We start from the raw sequence: 25,171 nt of genomic DNA, 5'->3' as shown, positions 1-25,171 counted from the left end.
AAGTCATGGGCCCCTTTTAAAAGTAGAAAGTGGGCTGGGCATGGTGGCTTATGCCCTGTAATTCCAGCACCTTGAGAGGACAAGGCAGGAGGATCATTTGATGTCAGGAGTTCGAGACCAGCCTGGCCAACATGGTGAAACCCTGTCTCTACTAAAAATACAAAAATTAGCTGGGCATGGTGGTGGGCGCCTGTAATCCCAGCTAGTTGGGAGGCTGAGGCAGGAGAACTGCTTAAAAGAAAAAAAAACCCTGGAGGCAGAGGTTGCCGTGAGTCAAGATTGCACAACTGCACTCAGCCTGGGCAACAGAGTGAGACTCCACCTCAAAAAAAAAAAAAAAAAAAAAAGTAGAAAGACTTTAAAAGTAAAAGTACTTTTAAATTTAACACCAATTTTTGGAAAGATTTTAGAAATTTCTGCTTATCTCAAAGGCAATGAGTATTTTGTTCCAGTGGAGATGCCTTACATAGTTCATATCAGTCGTGATAGAGCTTGTGTTCTGTCATTTCAGGCAGCTGAGACAGAACCACGTGCCATTTTTATAGGGGCTCCCTTCCCGTGGGTGTGCCCACTCGCCCCTGTGTGGGGAATCTTTTTTTTTTTTTTTTTTTTTTTTTTGAGACCGAGTCTCGCGCTGTTTCCCAAGCTGGAGTGCAGTGGCGCGATCTCGGCTCACTACAACCTCCGCCTCCCAGGTTCAAGCGATTCTCCTGTCTTGCCCTCCCGAGTAGCTGGGACTACAGGTGCGTGCCACCACACCCAGCTGATTTTTTAAATTTTTAGTAGAGATGGGGTTTCACCATGTTAGCCAGGATGGTCTCTATCTCCTGACCTCGTGATCCGCCCGCCTCGGCCTCCCAAAGTGCTGGGATTACAGGCGTGAGCCACCGTGCCTAGCCCCTGTGTGGGGAATCTCAATGCTGCCTCGTTCTAGTTCTCACTGCCTGACAACTCCAATCTACACTGCAGGCCAAATGGAAAATGGCACAAACCCAACTCATTCACACATCCATTTGGCATTTGCAACAAAAATCAGGAAACATGGTCATTCTTCAAGGGTTTTCTATGTAATGAGGACAGAATGCAGATACAAATTAACATCTTAATATTACAAATTCTTTGAACAGTATATTAATGTTTCTTATGCAATATAACCAGGTGAAATTACCTGAAACTGACCATTAAGCTTTTCGATGCTAATACAGAGTGTAGATCTTTCTGTGCAACATTTGATTTTAGCCCAAAGCTTTAAACCCTATTAACATCTAAATGCTGAATGAGGCTATAAAATATGCATATATAATTTTGGGAACTGAAACAGATAACCTTTTAAAATATAATTGATGACACCTGTAATCCCAGCACTTTGAGAAGCTGAGGTGGGCACATCACTTGAGCCCAGGAGTTCAAGACCAGCCTGAGCAACATAGCAACACTTCATCTCTACAAGAAATACAAAAAAATTAGCCAGGCATGGTGGCATGTGCCTGTAGTGCCAGCTACTTGGGAGGCTGAGGTGGGAGGATCAACTGAGCACGGGAGGGTAAAGCTCTAGTGAGCCATGATCATAACACTGTACTGTAGCCTGGGCTACTGAATGAGACCGTGTATCAAATATACAAATAATTGAAAAAATCTAAGATGCCCACAAAAATCTTAATTTCATAACTGTTCTGATATGCATTATATATAATAGTTACACTATATCCGATAGTGATAAGTGCTATGGAGAAAAAAAAGACTGCAAGGGATAGAAAGTGCTAGGGTAGCCTTGTGCGGTGGCTCACACCTGTAATCCCAGCACTTTGGGAGGCCAAGGCGGGTGGATCACCTGAGGTCAAGAGTTCAAGACCAGCTTGGCCCACATGATGAAACCCTGTCTCTACTAAAAATACAAAAATTAGCAGGGCGTGGTGGCAGGCCCCTGTAATCCCAGCTACTTGGGAGGCTGAGGCAGGAGAATCGCTTGAACCCGGGAGGTGGAGGTTGCAGTGAGCCGAGACCTCACCATTGCACTCCAGCCTGGGTGACACAGTGAGACTCCGTCTCAAAAAAAAAAAAAAAAAAAAGGAAGAAAGTGTGCTAGGGTCATATGAGTAGGGGTTGCTATTTTATTTAGGGTGGTCAAGGAAGACCTCACTGATAAGATGTAAGAGCAGAGACCTGCAAGAAATGATGAAGCTAGTCATGTGGATACCAGGGAAGAGCATTGGAGGCAGAGGAAACAGCAAATCCCAAGGCTTGAGACAGCATGGGGTCCTAGGCGCTCAAGCTGAGTACATGCAGGAGTGGCAGCAGATGAGAGTTCGATTAGTAAGGGGAGAGGACAGAGCACAGAGGGGCCTCATAGACATTTGTAAGGACTTTGGTTTTTCTGTTGTTGTTTGTTTTGTAGAGACAGGGCCTTGCTGATTTTGCCCAGGCTGGTTTCGAACTCCTGGGCTCAAGGGAACTGCCTGCCTCAGCCTCCCAAAGTGCTAGGATTATAGGCATGAGCCACTATGCCTGGCCAGGACTTTGGATTTGACTCCGAGTAGAGAACCACTGGAGGGTTGTAAGTAGAGGAATGACAGATCTGCCATTTTTTTTTTTTTTTTTTTTTTTTCAGAAGATTCACTCTTTCTGCTGTATGGGGAATAGACTGTTGGGGCTAAGACCAGAAGTCAGTAGATATACAAGAGGAGACAGTGGTGGTCATCAAGTGTTGTCCTCCCACAAACTCCAATAGACTATTCTCCAGTCACACAGGACCAAACTTACAGAGTTCATAAAAATGAACCTTTGGCAAGGATGTTATCCCAGCACTTGAAATAGTTCACATACATATCTGGGGGTCAGGAAGTCTTCCCTTGAGGCTCTGTTGAAGTCTAAGCTTATTAAACAACCACGAAATATTAGAAACCAGTACCAAGATCCAACTAGGGAGCAGTGTGGGATCCACAAAGTTTGGGACAATTGGCTGTGTTTTGTAAAGCAGGAACAAGTTATCCATATTGGTGTCAACGTGACCATGGATTAAAAGTCTTGAGTATGGTGGCTCACGCCTGTAATCCCAGCACTGTGGGAGGCCGAGGCGGGTGGATCCTTGAGACCAGGAGTTTGAGACCTGCCTGGCCAACATGGTGAAACCCCATCTCTACTAAAAATACAAAAATTAGCCGGGCGTGGTGGTGGGCACCTGTAATCCCAGCTACTTGGGAGGCTGAGGCAGGAGAATCCCTTGAACCTGAAAGGTGGAGGTTGCAGTGAGCTGATATTGCACCACTGCACTCCAGCCTGGGTGACAGAGTGAAACTCTGTCTCAAAAAAAAAAGTGTCTTCAGTATGATAAACCCACACAGGAAGAATTGATTAACTGTTGTTAATTAGATGACAAGAACAACAAAGTCGAGTGGGCTTTGTGGAGTGTGCTACCTGAGAGTCCATTTGGTCAGGGACCTAACTGGCCTGATGTGATCCCATAGTGAGGGAGGGAGCAGGGGAAATGACTGCCTAGTCCTCACTCTCCTGCCTCCCTCCAGACTCCCCCTGGGGCCAAATCCAACAAGAAGCCAGACAAGGCAAGGGAACCCCCTGGAATGGGCCATATGGTTCAGCCTCCCCAGCATACAGCCAAGTGGAAGAGGATTTAGTTTAGACCCAGAAAAGCAAGCAATTTCAAGGTCCTATTGGGAGTGTGGAGGAAATGCCCTTCCCAGTCTCTTCCCCCATTGGAGGGGGAATTCAAGAATTAGGATAGAGAGGCCAGGCATGGTGGCTCACGCCTGTAATCCCAGCACTTTGGGAGGCTGAGGCGGGCAGATCACTTGAGGTCAGGAGTTTGAGATTAGCCTGGCCAACATGGTGAAACCCTGTCTCTATTAAAAATATAAAAATTAGCCAGGCGTGGTGGCGGATGCCTGTAATCCCAGCTATTTGGGAGGCTGAGGCAGGAGAATTGCTTGAACCTGGGAGGCGGAGGTTGCAGTGAGCTGAGATCGTGCCACTGCACTCCAGCCTGAGCAACAAGAGTAAAATCTCCATCTCAAAAAAAAAAAAAAAAAAGAAAAAAGAAAAAAAAGAATTAGGATAGAGAGATTGGGCATAGTGCCTGCCTTCCAGTGTGAAATTAATGGAATAGGACTTTGTAAGGAACGCTAGGTGGGATAGGGGACAAATGTTTCATTCACGTAATAAAGTCAAAGTCATGTTAATAGAGGAGTTGATCTTGAATGAAGACTTGATGAGGCTTATTAATAGGATTGACTTTCCCTTTTCCTAAGTGATAATCAAAGAAAAACAAATGGAGGGGAGGGAATCTACCAAACTGCAACAAGGAGAAAAGGAATCACCCCACATCATTTCTTCCCTGCCCCTTTCCCCTCCCTCTTGGGACTAGAAGCTGCTCCATCTCCTCTACCCAGCAGCGAAACAGAGAGGGAGGCTGGGGCCCACCCTCCCACCAGAGGCTGTGAAAACATGCAATACCCGTGAAACCTGTTCACTTCTGGGGGAAAGAAAGTCTGCAGAGAGCGGAAGGAGACAGGTCTTCAGAAAGAGAGGGCATAAAGGGAAAAGGCCCTTTTGTCTGTTGCAGGAGGAGGGAGACTGTGTGAAAGTGACTTAGCACTGTGCCCAGGTGCAAAGTTAGTGCCAAATAAGTGTTAACTGTGGCTTTCTTTCTTCTCTCTCCTCTCTCTCTCTCTCTCACACACACACACACACATGCAGGCACAAGCAGATTCTACTACAAATACCTGTCTTCTGCTATAGGACCATACTCTCACCTGACATCATACTCAGGTAAGTGACATGGGCGAGGTGTGGGAGACTTTAGTAGTGTCCTCTCTGAGATCTCCCCGGGATAGGGCATGGTAAGGCAGCATAGATGCCGATCTCACCAGCCATTACAAAATGCAAAATTTTGCTTCTTTGGAGGTTTTGGCTTAATGTGGGCTCAGTTCCACTGCACCTCTATGGAGTGCAGAGGATGTGGTGGTGTGGCCTCGATGCTTTGAACTAGCTTGAATGCAGGAGCCCAGGGCCCCGAGGAAGGATCACAGCTGCACTGTGGGGAAGTGGGGGGTGCAGCTGCTTAGCTGAGCAGAATGGGAGTGGCTGCAACAGCCTGTAAATGTGCTTGATTTTAGGGTCTTTATCCAAATAAAATATGGCTTGCTGACAGGTTAGGGAACACACCTCACTTCACACATAAACCAGCACTGACATGTTCATTTATTTCTGTAAGGTTTGCAGTCACCTAATGGGGTCGGGTTTACAGGGTGGCCCTTTAGCCCCCACATTTTTTTTCCCTATCAAGTCAAGAAGACTGAAATTCCTGTTGCAAACACCAAAGCCTCTAGGAGAGGCAGAAAAATGACATAGAGCACAGAGCCAACCAATGCAATCCACAAAAATGAGAGTGTATATGCTTAACCATTCCGGAAATATGATAAACACATTTATTTTATTTATTTATTTTTTGAGACAGAGTCTCACTTTGTTGCCCCGGCTGGAGTGCAGTGGCACGATCTTGGCTCGCTGCAACCTCTGCCCCCCGGCTTCAAGTGATTCTCCTGCCTCAGCCTCCTGAGTAGCTGGGATTACAGGTGTGCACCACCACGCCCAGCTAATTTTTGTATTTTTAGTAGAGACGGGGTTTTACCATATTGGCCAGGCTGGTCTCGAACTCCTGACTTCAAGTGATCTGCCTGCCTCAGCTTCCCAAAGTGTTGGGATTACAGGTGTGAACCACCATACCTGGTGGATAAGCACATTTAAAGAGATGCCCACACACTCACATACTGCCTGACATTGTTCATTAATCTTTACAGGAGCCCCTTAAGCTCACCATTTTATACACGGAGAAGAGGTTAAAATTCACACAGCTAACAAGGGCCAGGGCTGAGATTTGAACCTAGTGCACTCTGGTGAGAGGTCTCACCTTCAAACATCCTACCTCGCTGCTGGAGGTGACCACTTAGCAATATTTGCAAAAGGTGCTACAGTTTAGTAAAACAGAAGTGCTTCCTGATTACCTTCCATTCTTGTTAGTCATTTAGGGGTCTGCCAGCTTTTATCACTGGTTAAAATGGTAACCACTTTTCATTCTAAATGAATCCTGCCCTCTAATTAGGAGCTTTAGTAACCTTAGAAGGTGATCTAATGCAAGTAAAATTTAAAAAGATTTTTCACACTTCACTTTTAAAATATGAAATCATGCAGGCAGCTTTGAACCAGTTTTATAACTGTTAGGTTTCCCCCCAGCTGTATAATACCCAGGAAATCAGGCCACCTCACCTTTCTGAGCTTTCAGAACAAACAAAAACTCCAGTAAATCTGGCTTGCTTTATGTTAGTGGCTCTAATTACAACTGAGGGGTCCTGTTCCCCTCTTGCAGCCTCTTTGAGACCTTATGTTAATGGGAGAGCTTCACAGAGTCACTCGTGGTGTTTTCAGTTATGCAGTTTTTTGTTTTTTTTTTTAAACCTGATTTTCTGCTGACACTTACTATTTCTTAAAGTGGCTTTACACTTCTCTTCTTTTGAGTTTGAGCCATGGATGGAAAAACCAGGCAGCTAGTTGTCAGCTCTGGGCTTGGTCTTTATTCTTTGAATGATGCTCCTTAGTTCCCATGGGCAAGGACAAAGCAGGGGACTGTCCTGGGCTGGGACAATCACTCACAGCCACATGATTCATGTGCTCAGTCCAAGCTGGGCATGGCCCAGTGGCGGTGATTTTCATTTGAGTAGACCCGGCTTCGATAAGGATACCTGGAGGGCAACCAGCCAGCTTTTGTGGAGACAATCCCAGAATAAGGTAACTGATCCCACACTAAAATAATGATAGAGTTAACTTCCCAACTCTTTAAAGCATAAGTGCAGTTTGAACAGAGAGTTACTAAACAGAATTCAATGATAGCATCATCCTAGTTCCCTTAGCAAAGACCACATGACGTCTAGGACCAATGAATCACAGAACAGCGGAGATACAAAGAACACGAAAGTCATGCGCTACACCTCTTTGTTTATTTTATTTTATTTTATTTTATCTTTATTTATTTATGTATTTATTTATTTATTTATTGAGACGGATTTTTGCTCTGTCGCCCAGGCTGGAGTGCAGTGGTGCAATCTCGGCTCACTGCAACCTCCGCCTCCCGGGTTCAGGCAATTCTCCTGCCTCAGCCTCCCAAGTAGCTGGGATTTTTGTATTTTTAGTAGAGACAGGGTTTCACCATGTTGGCCAGACTGGTCTCGAACTCCTGACCTCAGGTGATCCCCCTACCTCGGCCTCCCAAAGTGGTGAGATTACAGGTGTGAGCCAATGTGCCTGGCCTATTTTATTTTATTATTATTATTTTTTGAGATAGGGTCTTGCTCTGCTCTCCAGGCTAGAGTGCAGTGGCACAATCAGGGCTCACTGAAGCTTCAACCTCCCCAGCTCAAACAATCCTCCCACCTCAACCCCCCACCCACATACGCCTGCCACTGAGTAACTGGGACTACAGGTGTGTACCACCACGCCCGGCTAAATTTTTTTTGAATTTTAGTAGAGATGAGGTCTCACTATGTTGTCCAGGCTGGTCTCAAACTCCTGAGCTCAAGCGATCCTCCTGCCTCAGCCTCCAAAAGTGCTGGGATTACTGGCATGAGCCACTGCACTCGGCCACTTCTTTATTTTAAAGTACCCAAAGTCACATGGCCAGTTGGCAGTCCAGCAGGCACAGTAGAATTCTTGTGTGATTGGCTATAAATGTTGTGTCTCTAGGAAGTAGCATAAGAAATCACAAAAATGCCTTCAGGAGGGGCAGTAGAAAGGCATCGTGTAAAACAGCTGAGCCTCAGGAGGATGGGCTTAATAAGACATGATTGACAGCCAGCCAAATATCTGTGGCGTGCCTAATGAAAGGGCTCTGAGTGTCTCTGTCATCTGGAGTATGGTGGGGCACATTTTTCCTTAGAGATTGAGGATGGATGGCCACGGTAGCTGAGAGTAGAATCCCCAGTCTGAGAAGCTCCCGAGTGTCTTGTACTGAACAGTGATTTTTTTTTTTCTGTCTAGCATCCCTCATGCATTTGGTGAACTGCTTTTTCCTTATTCTAAATCATGTGAACCTGATTCCAATTGCAGTGTTCCATCCTTGGCCATGGTCATGTGGCCTAGGCCTGACCAAGGAGAGGGAAAAAGAAACAGAGGCCTAAGGATGTCAATTGACTTCCTGGATCCAGCTGTGTCTGAAGAGAGGATTTGCTCTTCTGGACTTTTGGGTTACATGAGGCAATTAAGTTTCCATGACTAATAACCAAAACAGTGCTAACATCTGGGGGTTGGGGAAAGGTTGCTGAAGGGGCTCAACTGGTAGGTGTGGTCATCAGACCGGGCAAAGAGGCAAGCAGTTCCATGACAGGAAAGAGTCCAGACAGCCCATTTCTGCCCACAGTCAGGCCCAGAAGCCCCCAGCATGGGGGCCTGGCAGGCGGTGGGCCCCTCTCTGGACCTGGTCACCTATTGCCTGAAAAGCCTTTTTTATCCCAGGAAAGACAGAGCTATGGGCTGGAGCAAGTATCTTCAGCTTTTCCAGGAAACAGCATGGTGGCTGGTATGGAGACAGAAAGCAGTACAACTCTACTGGCAGCTTGTCTAAGGAAAGATGAGGCTTCTTCTGACCTCTGGTCCCTTGGGGGAACCCAGGAAGACATACAGGCCTTGACTTCTCGGAGCTTGGCTTTCAGAGTGGAGTGGAGGTGCGGGTGTCAGAGCTGCAGGGGTGCAATGCTTCCCCAGGCTCCCAGGTTGATTTCACAGGTGCACCAGTTCTCAGCTCCCCATGGGGGACCGGCAGATGGGTAGTTAGCCAGCTGTTGGAACAAGCACAGCCCAATTTGTCAAGCTTTGTGTGGCCCTGAGGAGTGTTTCTAGTGATTGCCCTTTCTGTTGCAAAACACACCTTCAACTGTTACCCTTGGCATCTGCTGCAGGTGTAAATGTGCTTCTTAGCACTTTATCATTGTCCTACAGTGGGGCTGGGTATTCTGTAACCTACTGTCAAAAGGAATGCTTTTTCACTTATTCACTTTACATCATTGTAAGGATGTTCTGATATTTATAGGATAACCCTTCCATGAAGGTCTAAAACCTGGATCAGATGACTCTTGTAAGTGCATTGCTACTTTGGCATTGAAGAATGGTTGAAATTTCATATATTTGATACCCATGGCCCAATACTCAGAAAACACTGTTGGGAAACACTTGCAAAATGTCAAATTTGATTGAAGGTTATATCAATATTTCCACTAGGATCGGCATGGTGGCTCAGGGAGGGGCCCACAGCCTGTAATCCCAGCACTTCGGGAGACTGTGGCAGGCAGATCACGAGGTCAAGAGATCGAGACCATCCTGACCAACTTGGGGAAACACCATCTCTACTAAAACTACAAAAATTAGCCAGGCGTGGTGGCACACGCCTGCAGTCCCAGCTACTCTGGAGAATGAGGCAGGAGAATTGCTTGAACCCAGGAGGTGGAGGTTGCAGTGAGCCGAGATTGCACCACTGCACTCCAGCCTGGCGACAGAGAGACTCCATCTCAAAAAAAAAAAAAAAAAAAAATTCAGGAAACACTGTAAGTGAAGCTATCATGTTTCTGGTGAAACCTAGATCAATTTGGACCTTGTTGGTCCTGGGATTAGTCAACTGGGTTAGTAACAAATACACGAGTGCTTCCCAGAGGCTCCTGCCCTATTTTATCTGTGCTTAGAATTTTCCAGTTTACCCTCATTGCCTCTGAAGTAGACATGCAATTGTCAGAAAGTTCAGTGGTTTCTAGAACAGTAACAGTTCATGTTTCCGTAGTTCTTCTTTTTTCTTTTTTTCTTTTTTTAAGAATTAGAATAACCCCAACAACATTAATGAAGTTGACTCAGCAGTTACAATGCTGTCTTCTCAGTGGCTGGTTTCCCTGCCTTATTCTTTAGAAGAAATAGAAGTATTGGCGGTGACACGTTTTAATCTACCAGCCGCAGAATATAACCCTGGTAATCATTGTTGGAAAATGCACACATTGTGATGTAATAGATTTTTTACTCACTACGTATTTTCTAAATCCTCAGAGTAAGAATGGGTCTCCTTTAAAGTTCCTAGTGATTTATGCAGAGAGACTTGGCTCCTGGATGTCCCTTGAGCAATAATCACACAGTATTAAAAAGGCATTTGGGGAAGAAGTCTGGGGAAGTCATCTTTGCAGGGATTTTTGGCAATGTAGAGAAGCCCTTTACTTAAAAGAGCACACGATGGGAACCAGAGAACTCCAAAGGTTTTTCTTTTCTTTTTTGTCTATTCAGCTAACTTCAGAATAGATTTGTGAAGAGAAAAGGCAGGGCACTAGTTAATGAGGCATGATTTATAGGCAACCAATGCTGTTCTTGGTGAGGCCTGGAATGCTCACTTAGCCTCTTCTCCGTCAAATCCTCTTGTCTCTCCTGGAGTCACTTCACTGCTCCTGAAGGTGTTCTTCAAAAATCCTCACCTCCAGGTTCCCAAGTTCAAACATGACAGGCTCTTGGCTGATGCAGCCTTCTGCAGCTGGATGCTGGCTTACAAAGAGAGACTGTTTTCCATGTGATGTGATCGCTAGGGGATTGGAAAGATCTCTCGCTCTGCCCCCCAAATATCTAAGTGGCCTTCTCCGGTGCTAGGATTTCCACCATTAGTCATGACTTTGTGTCAGAATTTAGGTCCCTACTAGAGGTTGTGGCAGGTGGGGTGTGGAAGTGAAAAGATTCCTGCATCCAGGATGGGGTTTTATTTTACTTTTATTTTCATTTATTTTAGTTTTTGAGGATCAAAGATCTTTTTTCTAATTTTTTAATTTTTATTTTTTGAGACAGAGTCTCACTCTGTTGCCCAGACTAGAGTGTGGTGGCGCAATGCACAATCTTGGCTCACTGCAACCTCCACCTCCCAGGTCCAAGCAATTCTCCAGCCTCAGCCTTCTGAGTAGCTGGGACTACAGGCATAAGCCACCACACCCGGCTAATTTTTGTATTTTTAGTAGAGACAGGGTTTTACCATGTTGGCCAGGCTGGTCTTGAACTCTTGACCCCAAGTGATCCGCCCGCCTCAGCCTCCCAAAGTGCTGGAATTATAGGCATGAGCGATCATGCCTGGCCCAAGTATCTTTCTAAATTGTGGAACTCGGTACAAAATTAAAGGCTAAATCGGTAGATTTCAAAGTCTGGAGAAAAGTCAAAGCTGTTTTCATTTTTTTTCCTGTTCTTTCCTTATCTCCCTTTCTCAAATTCTTGCTTTTTAGAGGTAACCACTTCCCAACCACCCCACGGCACCTAGTATAGGGCCTCCCTCACAGCCAGCAAGCTCTGAAAATCTCCTCTGAGCTCTTCACCTGTTTTCCTTCCTCCAGAGACCTGGAGCCCACCTGCTGCTACAGAATATCAGGGAGCAGTTAGGAGTAGAGGAGGCACTGGGAGGCATTTGTGAATTAGCAGTTGTTTACTCACTCAGCTGCAGTACTCCAATCTGGATAGGCAGTGACATGGTGCTGAGTAGAAACTGCAGTTTCAAGGAAGAAAAGTCTGGCTAAACTTACTCACGTCAGGAAGGGAAGCAGTGGCTTGACCTTTCAGACATGCCCAGCAAGGGGACACTGGGTGCCAGGGTCACCTGAGTCGCCATCGTACCCCATTCTACCCTCCATGTTATAGCCATTGGAGTGGTGGCTCATTCCTGTAATCCCAGCACTTTGGGAGATTGAGGTGGGAGGATCCTTTGAGCCCAGGAACCCAAGACCAGCCTGGGCAACATAGTAAGACCTCCATCTCTACAAACAAACAAACAAAAAACAAAACAAAACAAAACAAACAAACAAAAAAAAACCCATTCAGGCATGGTGGTGCACACCTGTAGTCCCAGCTACTCAGGAGGCTGAGGTGGGAGGATCACTGGGGCCCAGGAGGTTGCGGCTGCAGTGAGTGGTGATCACGCTACTGCACTCTATCCTGGGTGACAGAGTGAGATCCTGTCTCAAAAAGGAAAAAAAAAAAAGGAAAACAAGGTTAGGACAACTTTAATCTAAAAACAGCATAAGAAAGAGAATCAGTGACCTGAGCTTAGGTTCCAGCTCTGTATCTTTTTTTTTTTTTTTTTGAGAAAGAGTTTTGCTCTGTCACTCAGGCTAGAGTGCAGTGGCGCGATCTTGACTCACTGCAAACTCCACTTCCCCAGTTCAAGCAATTCCCCTGCCTCAGCCTCCTGAGTAGCTGGGATTATAGGCACATGCCACCATGCCTGGCTAATTTTTTTTGTATTTTTAGTAGAGATGGGGGTTTCACCATGTTGGCCAGACTGGTCTTGAACTCCTGACCTCAGGTAATCCACCCGCCTTGGCCTCCCAAAGTGCTGGGATTACAGGAGTGACCCACCGTGCCGGGCCTCTTTTTTTTTTTTTTTTTTTTTGATATGGAGTCTTGTTCTGTTGCCTAGGCTGGGGTGCAGTGGCACGATCTTAGCTCACTGAAATCTCCACCTCCCAGGTTCAAGCAATTCTTCTGCCTCAGCCTCCCAAGTATATGGGGTTATAGGCATCTACCACCACGCCCGGCTAATTTTTGTATTTTTAGTAGAGACGGGGTTTCACCATATTGGCCAGGTTGGTCTTGAACTCCTGACCTCAGGTGATCCACCCGCCTTGGCCTCCCAAAGTGCTGGGATTACAGGTGTGAGCCACTGCTCCTGGCCCAGCTCTGTATCTTTCTGTGCCATCTTGGGCAAATAACATTTCCTTGTGGTTACTCGAAACTCCACATTGCAGAGTTGCAAGGACCACATGGGATGAAGTTGCAAAGTGTTCTGAAAGGCTGCCTATGAGATCTGCAGTTTGGTGCTTCTCACTCCATAGTGTGCTCACGAATCACCTGGGGGTCTTGTTAAACTCAGATCTGACTCAGTGGGTCTGGGACAAGGCCTGAGTCCGCCTTTCTAACAAGCTCCCAGGTGATGGCAATGCCGCTGGTCTATGTATCACACTGTGAGCCGCCAGGATTATCTCAAAGGTTTATCACAGGCTAGACACATTGTAAGTGTTCCAGAGGTGGTGGCTATCATTACCAGTAATATCCAGAATAGCTTTGCTCTTATTTTGATCTAGAGAATTGCTTTAGGATTAACCTCCCACCTCCACCACTAATCTGGGTGATAGAATATTTTGTAGTCCTGGCTGGGCACAGTGGCTCATGCCTGTAATCCTAGCACTTTGGGAGGTCCAGGCACGTGGATTGCTTGAGCCCAGGAGTTCAAGACCATCCTGGGCAACATGGTGAAACTCTGTCTCTACAAAAAAATTCAAAATTAGCCGGGTGTGGTGGTGTGTACCTGTAGTCCCAGCAACTTGGGAAGCTGAGGTGGGAGGATCACCTGAGCCCAGAGAGATTGAGGCTGCAGTGAGCTCTGATGGCACCACTGCACTCCAGCCTGTGTGACACAGTGAGACCCTGTCTGAAAAAAAAAAAAAAAATTGCAGTGCTGAGGAAAATTTATAGCACGAGCCCTTTTTCCTGAACACCCCTTGGACAACCCCTTGAGAGTGAGAACTTTCATGATTATATTTCTAGAAGGAAGGGTTTTTTCTTTATCCCTTGCCATTATCTCTGTCTTTGAATGGGTTAAGATGTATCAAATCTAGATTTCTGTGAGGCCTGAGCTTGGAATAAATCTTATGCCACCTTCAGAGGAGATGTGACAGTTTTCCAGGTTAGACAAGGTACCTACTTGGAGATCTGTTGAGACAGGACTCAGTGTTAATTTTGTGTTCAATCTTCCGTAGTCCAGTCAACATTGCTCGGGAAGATGTGGCTTCTTCTAGTCTGACACAGAATAATGAATACGTGCAGAACCCAGTAACCTCAAGGGCCTCAACAAAGTCTGAGGTATGAGGTATTTTCCTAACTCACCTTTAATCATTTTTTAAAAGTTAAAATCCAGATCCCACACAATTATCATTTTTAAAAGTAAAATTCCATATTTACATTGAACCTGACAGGCATGCAAAAATGTTGTCATGGGTAAAGTAGAAAGGAACTTTGTTGGCTGGACACAGTGGCTCACGCCTGTAATCCCAGCACTTTGGGAGGCTGAGGTGGGTGGATCATCTGAGGTCAGGAGTTCGAGACCAGCCTGGCCAACATGGAGAAACCCCATCTCTTTTAAAAATACAAAATTAGCCAGGCGTGGTGGCCCATGCCTGTAATCCCAGCTACTTGTGAGGCTGAGGCAGGAGAATCGCTTGAACCCGGGAGGTGGAGGTTGCAGTGAGCCGAGATGGTGCCATTGCACTCCAGCCTGGGCAACAAGAGCGAAACTCTGTCTCAAAAAAAAAAAAAAAAAAAAAAAAGGCCCGGCGCTGTGGCTCATGCCTGTAATCCCAGCACTTTGGGAGGCCGAGGCGGGTGGATCACGAGGTCAGGAGATCGAGACTGTCTTGGCCAACATGGTGAAACCCTGTCTCTACTAAAATACAAAAAATTAGCTGGGCATGGTGGTGCGTGCCTGTGGTCCCAGCTACTCGGGAGGCTGAGGCAGGGGAATCGCTTGAACCTGGGAGGCGGAGGTTGCGGTGAGCTGAGATAGCGCCACTGCACTCCAACCTGGCGACAGAGCAAGATTCTGTCTCAAAAAAAAAAAAGAAAAAAAAAGGAAAGAAACTTTGTCCCTTTACCACCTCTCTCAGACAGGCACTGTTCCTGTTTTATCTGATTTAATCCTTGCAGCATGGCTGTAGCCTCAGTTGTATTATTAACATCCTCATTTTACAGATGAGGAAACCGAGGCTTGTGCAATTCAGGTGATTTCCCCAGCAACAGCTAATGCTTGTCAATTGACCAGGAAGATGCATTCGTTGGCCGCAGCCTCTGAAGAGATGATAGAGCAGGCCGAGGTGGGATTCTGGTTCTTCTGGACAGATGTGGGTTCATTCTTTCTACTCCTTCCATTTGCTAAGGGCTGGGTGCCTCTACCTTTTTCCTTGATTGTCCAGTGACTGGTTGTTTTTTTAAATCTGCATTCCTCTGGTAAAATTAACCTCTGTTTTTCTTTTTTTGAAACAGGGTCTCACTCTGTCACCCAGGCTGGAGTGCAGTGGTCCCATATCAGCTCACTACAACCTCTGCCTTCTGGGTTACAGCGATTCTCATGCCTCAGCCTCTCGAGTAGCTGGGACTACAGGTGAGCACCACCACGCCCGGCTAATGGTAAAATTAACTTTAAAAGAAGCTCTGAGGCTGGGCGCGGTGGCTCATGCCTGTAATTCCAGCGCTTTGGGAGGCCGAGGTGGGTGGATCATTTGAGGTCAGGAGATCGAGACCAGCCTGACCAACATCGTGAAACTCTGTCTCTACTAAAAATACAAAAAATTAGTTAGGCATGGTTGCACACGCCTGTAATCCCAGCTAGAGAGGCTGAGGCAGGAGAATCTCTTGAACTCTGGAGGTGGAGGTTGCAGTGAGCTGAGATCATGCCACTGTACTCCAGCCCGGACTACAGAGCAAACCTCTTCTCAAAAAAAAAAAAAGAACCTCTGGGCTTCCTGTCCATCTGGACTGTGCACCATTTAACAACTGCCACTTTTCCCCCCAGAAGAGGCTGCGTTTCAGTAGCAGAGAATGTGTCCCCAATATATAATTTATCTATTCTTTTATAAAGCACTTTAAGGTCTTTGGGGATCGCGAGGGTTGTGTAAATATGCTATTTATTATTTATTAACTTTATCCTCCTAATGGTCCCCACTAACAGGTCTGAATCAATCGAGACGCATCAGGTTGCAAGAAATGCCACACAACCTCCTTTGTTGGTGAGAGGCTTGGCCACCACCCACACATTTCCACAGGATAGGATGTGTTCAGGTGAGCAGCTGACCCCAGGTGCTTATGATCCCTGCAGCAAACTCTGTTCATCACAGAAATGTTGTTCAAAGCACAGGAACCCTCAATTCATCGGTGAGTAGGGGAGAGCAATGGTTTAGCAAATTGAGTATTTTTGTTTCAGCACTTCAGAGTTGCTGGATATCTTGCTCAAATTTATTGCTCCTAGCTAGTAGAGTACACTAAATACAAATAAATTTTTCTTTCTTTTTCTTTTTTCTTTTTTTTTGAGACAGGGTCTCACTCTGTCACCCAGGCTGGGGTACAGTGGCATGATCACAGCTCACTGCAGCCTCAATCTCCTGGGGTCAGGTGATCCTTCCACATCAGCCACCCAAGTAGCTGGGACTATAGGTGTATGCCACCACGCCTATGCCACCACGCCTAGCAAATTTTTGTATTTTGTTTGAGATGGGGTTTTGTTATGTTGCCCAGGCTGAAATCTTTCTAAAAATTAGACTTTGTGTCTAATTATGAAAATATTAGGTCGGGCGTGGTGGCTCATGCCTGTAATCCTAGCACTTTGGGAGGCAGAGGCAGGCAGATCACCTGAGGTCAGGAGTTCGAGACCAGCCTGGCCAACATGGTGAAATCCCATCTCTACTAAAAACACAAAAATTAGCCGGATGTGGTAGTGCGCACCTGTAATCCCAGCTACTCAGGAGGCTGAGGCAGGAGAATTGCTTTGAACCCTGGAGGCGGAGGTTGCAGTGAGCTGAGATTGCAACACTGCACTCCAGCCTGGGCAACAGAGCAAGACTCTGTCTCCAAAAAAAAAAAAAAGAAAAAAAAAAAAAAGCTCATTAGCTCATTTGTAAAAATGTAGATAAGAAAAAGAAGAAAATAAATATCACCAATAGTTTTTACTGCACAGAAATAATAACAGCTTTAAAATTTTAATTTCCTTCCAGTCTTTCTCACGCACACACAAAAGATGTTTGGCATGCTGCATCTTGCCTTTCTCATTTAACATTTTATATTTCATGCACACTTTCCTGTGTCATCAAATATTTCTCAGAATATGATTTAAATGTCCTTATATGGGCATGCACAAGCAGATCTTTCCTTGGTAACTTAGGCTGTGTGCACTGTCATTATTCCAGAACATTAATTTCCACTGATGATGTCACAGGGCTAGGTGACCTGGCTGAAAATGAAGTGTCAGCAGAACTCACACTAAAACTTAAGTGTATTTTAATATACCACTTAATAAAATATTTCTCATAATAATGAGTTTCTCCCCATTACCAGAAGAAAATAAAAATCCTAGTCAATTTAGATTTTTCCTGAGGCTTGAAGATAGTAAAATTGAGAGTACACTGGGCAAGAAGCCAGCAATTACATTAATAAAGCCCACCATAAGCCAGGTGCAGTGGCTCATGCCTGTAATCCTAGCACTTTGGGAGGCTGAGGTGGGAGGATCACTTGAGCCCAGGAGTTTGAGACTGGCCTGGGCAACATAGTGAGACCTTGTCGCAACAAAAAATTTAAAAATCAGCCAGGTGTGGTGGCGCATGCCTGTAGTCCCAGCTACTTGGGAGGCTGGGACAGGAGGATCACTTGGGCCCAGGAGTTCGAGGCTGTAGTGAGCTATGATCGCACCACTACATTCCAGCTTGGGCAATAGAGTGAGACTCTTTCTCTAAAATAAATAAATAGGCCAGGCGAGGGTCTCATGCCTGTAATCCCAGCACTTTGGGAGGCTGAGGCAGGTGGATCACCTGAGATCAGGAGTTCAAGACCAGCCTGGCCAATGTGGTGAAACCCTGTCTCTACTAAAAATACAAAAATTAGCTGGGCATGGTGGTGCGCACCTGTAGTCCCAGCTACTCAGCTAGCTGAGGTGGGAGAATTGCTTTAAGCCAGGAGGCGGAAGTTGCAGTGAGCCAAGATCGCGCCACTGCACTCCAGCCTGGGTGACAGAGAGAGACTTCATCTCAAAAACAAAATAAATAAATAAAATAAAATAAATAAATAAAGTAAAGACCATGATAATGCTTTGTTGGCGGTCATGATAAATTCACAGAATCTTCCAGCTTGGGTTCCCTGATTTGTGCTGCTACACTCCAGGGACATCAGACATGAAGTTTTGTACCACAGGTCTGCTCTGAGGCATCTCCTCTGACAGTTCTGTTCTTATTTCTGTGAGACTCATCGGATCCGTAAGTACAAACCCGTATACTGCATTTCTTTTAGAAGAACAAATTAGAACAGGTCAAGTTGTAACGCAAAGAAAACAAACCTAAAATGATTCACAACACACGAACGTCTGAGAGCCCGGAGTGGGAAGCACAGCAGGGCAGAGCTCGGTTCTGGGTGGGAGGGCACTTCCAGCCCTCCGGCTGCCCATCACTGGCTTCTCTTAGTGGGGCTCTTGTTTGGGCCTCTCCTCTCCCTAAGGTTTGATTCTGTCCCAAGCTCCTGGCAGGCAGAGGCCATATCTGTGTAAATCACTGTGTACAGTACCCAGCCAAAACCCATCCACAAATGTCCCTGATAAGAGGCTTTATTTATTCATTTCCTTAAGAGTTAATGCATTCATCTGGTTCAAAAATCCAAAAGGCAGCCAGGTGCAGTGGCTCACGCCTGTAATCCCAGCACTTTGGGAGGCCAAGGTGGGCGGATCACCTGAGGTCAGGAGTTCGAGACCAGCCTGGCCAACATGGTGAAACCCTGTCACTAGTAAAAATACATAAATTAGCTGGGGGTAGTGACGCACACCTGTAATCCCAGCTACTTGGGAGGATGAGGCAGGAGAATCGCTTGAACTGGGGAAGCGGAGGTTGCAGTGAGCCGAGATTGTGCCATTGTACCCCAGCCTGGGCGACAGAGCAAAACTCCATCCCAAAAAATAAAAATAAAAATAAATCCAAAAGGCACAAAAGGGTGGCAAAAAAAAGCCTTCTTCCCTCCCCAGCCATCTAGTTTTACCAGTTTTTTATGTGTTGTTCCATAGATATTTATGCATTTATAAGCAAATATATATAATTTTCACCTTTTAAATCAAATAGTGTGTTCTGTGCATACTGTTCTCTACCTTGCTTGGTTCCCATAGCAATGTCTTAGAAATCATCTCAAAAGCAGTTCATAAAGAGCTTCCCATTCTATTTCACAGCTGCCTAGTATTCAATTGTCTAGGCCATAATGTAGTCAATCCATCCCTTATTATTCTATTATTATTATTATTTTGAGACAGATTCTCACTCTGTTGCCCAGGTTGGAGTGCAGTGGCAGGATCATAGCTCACTGCAACCTCGACTTCCTGGGCTCAAGCAATACTTCTGCCTCAACCTCTGGAGTAGCTGGGAACACAGGCACACACCACCATGCCTGGCTAATTTTTGTATTTTTTGTAGAGACAGGGTTTTGCCATGTTGCCCAGGCTTGTCTCAAACTCCTGGCTTCAAGTGATCCTCTAGCCTTGGCCTCCCAAAGTGCCAGGATTACAGGCATAAGCCACCAAACCTGGCCTCACCCCTCATTAATTGACATTTAGATTTTTCCATCTTTTATCATTAAAATGCTTCAATGAATAACAGTATAATTCATTGTTTTATATGTATGAGGGAATAATATATGCTTTGGCCTCTCACTACATGGATCTGGAAGTTTGAAAGGCATGGGATGAATTGAGGCAAATGTCATTTCATGTTGAAATGAGGAGGAAGGCAGTGTTCAGCTCTTTTTTAACAAAACAAAACAAAATTAGCCTGCCCAGGTGAGTGTCTAATAGGGTAAATAGCATAGCATAGCATAGGCATTACTGAATTTCAGTGCTTAGCTCTTTGCTATCTGATCAACTTAGAGAGATACAAAGCAGTCAATCTGAGGTACTTGCATTCTCCAAGACTTTTTATTTTATCCTTTCTCTTTATTCAATCCCATTTTCTTGTATTTTTAAAGAATCAAGAATAGGTATCAAACACTCTAAACACTGGAGTGCTACCAGTCCTCTGCCTTTAGCTTCAAAAGGAACCTGAGCCTCCAGCTGTCAGTGAGCTCTATTCCCTCCCTTTTCCTTCCTCCCTTCTTTCCCCTTCCCTGCTTCCTTCCCTCTCTTCCTTTTTTCCTTCCATACCACCAAGTAACCCGCCTTTACTGAGTGCCTGTCCTATGCAAGCTCTGTGCCAAAATCCCTGCTCTAAAGGATCTTGCTACTAATCGGAGAAGAAGAGAGGGCTGCCATTATGGTTGTGTAGTTTGGAGGACACTTCCTGGAGGGAGGTGGGCTTGGAGAAGACCTCATGGGCAGAATTGCGGTTGGGGGATCCCAGGCATTGTTCCCTGTGGGTGGATGGAACAGAACAAATGAGGGCAAGGGGGAGGTGTGCTCCCCAGACACAGAGAATATCACAGCAATGCTGGAGAGAGGAGCAGGCAAGATTGGGAAGGGTGGTTTGGGGTCAGATTACAGGTCTTCGAGATACTGGGACCAGAGGTTGTGTGAGCAGTTGCAGGGGAAGAGGTCAGAGCTGGAATGATGTCCTGCCTATACTCTAGATTGACTGCTATTGCAGCCTGGGCGACAGAACAAGACTTGGTCTAAAAAAAAAAAAATTCCCATGTGGGGCAGTGCTCAGTGACTCAAACTTATAATTCCAGCACTCTGAGGGGCCAAGGCTGGAGGAATATTTGAGGCCAGGAGTTCAAGACAAGCCTGGGCAACATAGGGAGACCCCATCTCTACAAAAAATAAAAAAATTAGCCAGGGGAGGTGGCACACGCCTATGGTCCTAGATACTCCAGAGGCTGAGGCAAGAGGATCACTTGAGCTCAGGAGTTTGAGGTTACAGCAAGCTGTGACCCCACCACTGTACTCCAGTGCCTGGGTGACAGAGCGAGACCCTGTCTCTTAAAAAAAAAAAATTCCCATGTGGACTCCAGATACCACATCATAAACAATGGGAATAATTTTTCTGAAAATGTCATTTGGATATTTTTTGAGTAAGAATCATCTGAAAAAGAATCCCAAGAAATGTGTCCTCCACTTCCCAAATATATTAAAGATCATTTCAATCTAATGTTGAAGGAACAATAGCCACACCAATTGTTTTTTAAAAATGTAAATTTTTTAAAAATAATTAAGTCCTGCTGTAGGAAAATTTAGAAAGGCAGAAAAGCAAAAAGAACAGAATAATCATCCACAATTTTACTTCCCAGGGAAATTATGTTAACATTTAGGAATCTTTTTATATCTGTTTAGGTCTCGAATGTAATATATATGTGCAAATACATGTACATATATATGTAATGTGTACCCTGCTTTTCTTTACTTATTATCAGCATTCTCTCATAGCATTCAATATTCCTTTAAAGCATGATTTTTACTGATGGCATAAATCCATTTCTGTGAATACACCATCATTTATTTAACCATTCTTCTAGCTTGGGAGATTTGTGTTGTTTCCAATTCGTCACTACTACAGATAATGCTTCAGCAAGCATTTTGGTACATAAATACTTACATCTCTGATTATTTCCTGAGGATATATCCATAGAAGTGGGATTATAATATCCAAGGGTATGGAATTTGTTGTTGTTGTTGTTTTGTCTTGAAACAGGGTCTTGCTATGTCATTCAGGCTGGAGTGCAGTGGCACAATCATGGCTCACTGCAGCCTCAACCTCCCGGGCTCAAGCAATCCTCCCACTTCAGCTTCCTGGGTAGCTTTCCCAATTACAGGCAAGCACCACTATGCCAGCTAAATTTTACATTTTTTTTGTAGAGATGGGGTCTTGCCATGTTGCCCAGGCTGGTCTCGAACTGCTGGCCTCAAGCAGTCTTCTTGCTTGAGCCTCCTAAAGTGCTGGGATTACAGGTTTGAGCCACTGTGCCTGGCTAGATAGGAAATTTGCAAAGGAGTTTAATATACATTAATACATTTATCCTTCCATCACCATTATATGAAAACATCAGTCTCAACATAGCCTTATCAACAATAAGTATTATCATTTTTAAAAATTTTAAGCTGTTTGATAGGTGAAAAATTACATCTTACTTTTGGTTCACTTTCATGCTTCAGTTATCAATGAAGTTACACATTTTTTCCATGTGTTAATTGACCACTTATATTTTTTCTTTTTCTTTTTTATTTTTTGAGATGAAGTCTCTCTCTGTCGCCCATGATGGAGTGCAATGACATGATCTTGGCTCACTGCAACCTCTGCCTCCTGGGTTCAAGCGATTCTCCTGCCTCAGCCTCCCGAGTAGCTGGGATTACAGGCATGCTCAACCACGCCTGGCTAATTTTATATTTTTAGTAGAGACGGGGTTTCTTCATGTTGGTCAGGCTGGTCTCTAACTCATGACCTCAGGTGATCTGCCTGCCTCAGCCTCCCAAAGTGCTGGGATTACAGGCATGAGCCACCTCGTCCAGCAACCACTTATATTTTTTCTTTTATGAACTCCTGGGCTCAGGTGATCCTCCCACCTCAGCCTCCTAAAATGCTGAGATCACAGGCATGAGCCACCGGGCTCATCCCACATTAAATTCTTTAATGTATTTGGGGCTTGTTTTGCTGCGTGATGAGTTCTAAAAAGGATTTTTCCCCAAGTAATTAACCATTTGTAAAAACTGTATTTATTTCACACTCTATCCTTTCCTCGTTGATTTGTGATTTTAAAAATACCATACCATACCATATCCTAATAGCTTAAATATTTTAGGGTCCGTTTTAGAACCATCTTTTGTACTTCATTGATCTATTGACTTATTCTCGTGTCACTACCACATTGTTTCAGTGAATGTGCCTTTCAATTTGCTTTAATATCCGGTAAGGCAGATCCTTCCTTACCGTTCTTCTCTGTCAGAATTTTCTAACTATTCTCAACTGTCTATTATTTCAGATATATGCTAAAATGATTTTGTCAAATTTAAAAAATTTTGAATTTTATAAGCCTATGCACCAATTGAAATAAAGCGTTCTCCCATGAATGTGCCTGCCTCTTTTCTCAGGTGTCTTGCTAATTCTAATCCAACAGGAGAAAGCCTCTTAAAAGTCCCCGGCAGACGACAGAAAGGAAAATTAGAGGCAGATAATAGCTCTCTTGGGTGACTAGTATTGAACATTATGTATTTCCTTGTCAGAACAATTAGCAAGGAAAAAAAATTAGTAGATGCCTTAAAACCTACTAGAAAGTTAAGTGGGCAATTGCAGAAGTAGAATTATATGCACATGTATGTAAAAAAAGTCAAAATGGCTTTAATTGTAAATAGATTGTACACATTCAAGAGAATGGCCACAACTGTGTTTCCTTCATAATTTGGAATGCTCTCTGTGCAGGTAGTAAAGAGCTTGTGTCAGTATAAACCCAGCTGCACTGTGTTTTGTGCCCTACACCCCTTCATTCTGTGGGTTGATGTGTGACCAACAGAGTTAAGCATGATTCGCTTAGCTGAGTCAGGATCAGATGCTAGGGATCTTAAAAATAGATGTGTTGGAGAGCAGACTTAGCTTTATTTCATGAAACATGGAGTCTCACAGGCTGCATACTAAACCCTGACGGAAACTTTAGCATTTTAAGCCGACTGAGCAAAAATTCTTTCTCCTTTGGTCTAACTCAGCTTCAGTGGAAATCTAAGAAAAAGAAAGAGGGAGAGAAGTTCCCTGATTTTATAAAGACTGTCCAGTGATTGTGTGAGCTACTTATAAAAGTAAATCTAAAGATCTTTATTCACTTGCACAGGGTTTAAGTTAAAGTAGTAACAATGTTGGATATCTTTCTGGTATAGAGAAGGCAATATTCACAATTTCTTTTTTCTTTTCTTTTCTTTTTTTTTTTTTTTGAGACAGAGTCTCGCACTCTTGCCCAGGCTGTAGTGCAGTGGCACGATTTCGGCTCACTGCAAGCTCTGCCTCCCGGATTCTCGCCATTCTCCTGCCTCAGCCTCCCGAGTAGCTGGGACTACAGGCGCCCACCCCCACGCCCAGATAATTTTTTGTATTTTTAATAGAGATGGGGTTTCACCATGTTAGCCAGGACGGTCTCGATCTCCTGACCTTGTGATCCGCCCACCTTGGCCTCCCAAAGTGCTGGGATTATAGGCGTGAGCCACTGCGCCCGGCCAATATTCACAATTTCAAAAGGACTATCTGGGAGTTTTAGTAGTCTGGGCAAGCTGATTGCTCTAACAAACAACCCTTACACTGAGCAGCTTAACACAATAAAACTTTATTTCTCACTCATGTCACATTTTAATGTGGGTCAATGGGGCACTCTACTCCATGCAGTCATGCAGGGATCCAACTCTACCTTGTGGCTCCACCCTCCTTTAGGTTCTTGGATCTTCTCCTTCCAGCCAGCAGATGGGAAAAGAAAAGGAGCATCCCATGTAGAATGTTTTAATAGGCCAGGTCTGGACGTAATGTTTCCAATGGGTAGAATTTAGTCCCTTGTCCACACCTAACCTCAAAGGAGACTGGAAAATGCAGTCTAGCAGTGTGCCCAGGAAGAAGTGAGGAGCACAGATGTTGGTGATTACTAGTGGTTTCTGCCATAGGACTCATTTCTTTCTTTCTTTTTCTTTTTCTTTTTTTTTTTTTGAGATGGAGTTTCACTCTTGTCACCCAGGCTGGAGTGCAATGGCACGGTCTTGGCGCACTGCAACCTCCACTTCTCGAGTTCAAGTGATTCTCCTGCCTTAGCCTCCTGAGTAGCTGGGATTACAGGCACCTGCCACCACACCTGGCTAATTTTTGTATTTTCAGTAGAGACAGTGTTTTACCATGTTGGCCAGGCTAGTCTTGAAATCCTGACCTCAAGTCATTCTCCCGCCTCAGCCTCCCAAAGTGCTGGGATTACAGGCGTGAGCCACCGTGCCTGGGCAGGACTCATTCATTTCTTCATGCACTCATTCATTCATAAATACTTACTGAACAGTCATTATGTGCCAGATACTAGCTAAGAAGATAGGACTTCAGAGTATCTGCCTTCAGGAAAATACAGTCTTGGTCTTGAATCCTCACCTACTAGCTGTGTAAGTTTCATCTGTTTGAGCTGCTAGGTAGGGATGAATGGAGCTTGCAGTGCCATTGTGAGGGCTGCATGAAATAATATATATGAAGCCCCTATCATGTTTACATACATGTAAATGACCTATTCTGCATTGATCATATGTTTTCAATATTATTTGCTATTACTGTTAAGACACAGAATTCACACAATGCTTGCTTTCCCCTCAAATCTCAAAATAGTAGATTTGTGCTATCACTTTCACTGTTTACAAATTAGCCGGGTTTTCCTTCTATCCAAACACCATTTT

The 25,171-nt window shown here is 44.8% G+C and overlaps 1 long non-coding RNA gene across 2 annotated transcripts; it reads left to right on the top strand.

The window, feature by feature from the left end:
• On the top strand, positions 4,687-16,148 carry LOC107985459 (uncharacterized). 2 transcript variants are annotated; one of them, XR_001737816.3, is made up of 3 exons: positions 4,687-4,782; positions 13,818-13,920; positions 15,782-16,148. It is a non-coding gene; the product is annotated as an uncharacterized LOC107985459 (long non-coding RNA). The 2 variants fall into 2 exon arrangements; XR_001737817.2 differs by lacking the exon at positions 15,782-16,148 and adding an exon at positions 14,806-14,892.
• Positions 16,149-25,171: the final 9,023 nt, after the last annotated feature.

The sequence above is a fragment of the Homo sapiens genome, chromosome 1 (genome assembly GCF_000001405.40).
Source record: "Homo sapiens chromosome 1, GRCh38.p14 Primary Assembly".
NCBI lineage: Eukaryota > Metazoa > Chordata > Mammalia > Primates > Hominidae > Homo > Homo sapiens.
Note: the sequence above shows the minus strand (reverse complement) of the source record. Positions and strands in the feature narration are given on the sequence as shown.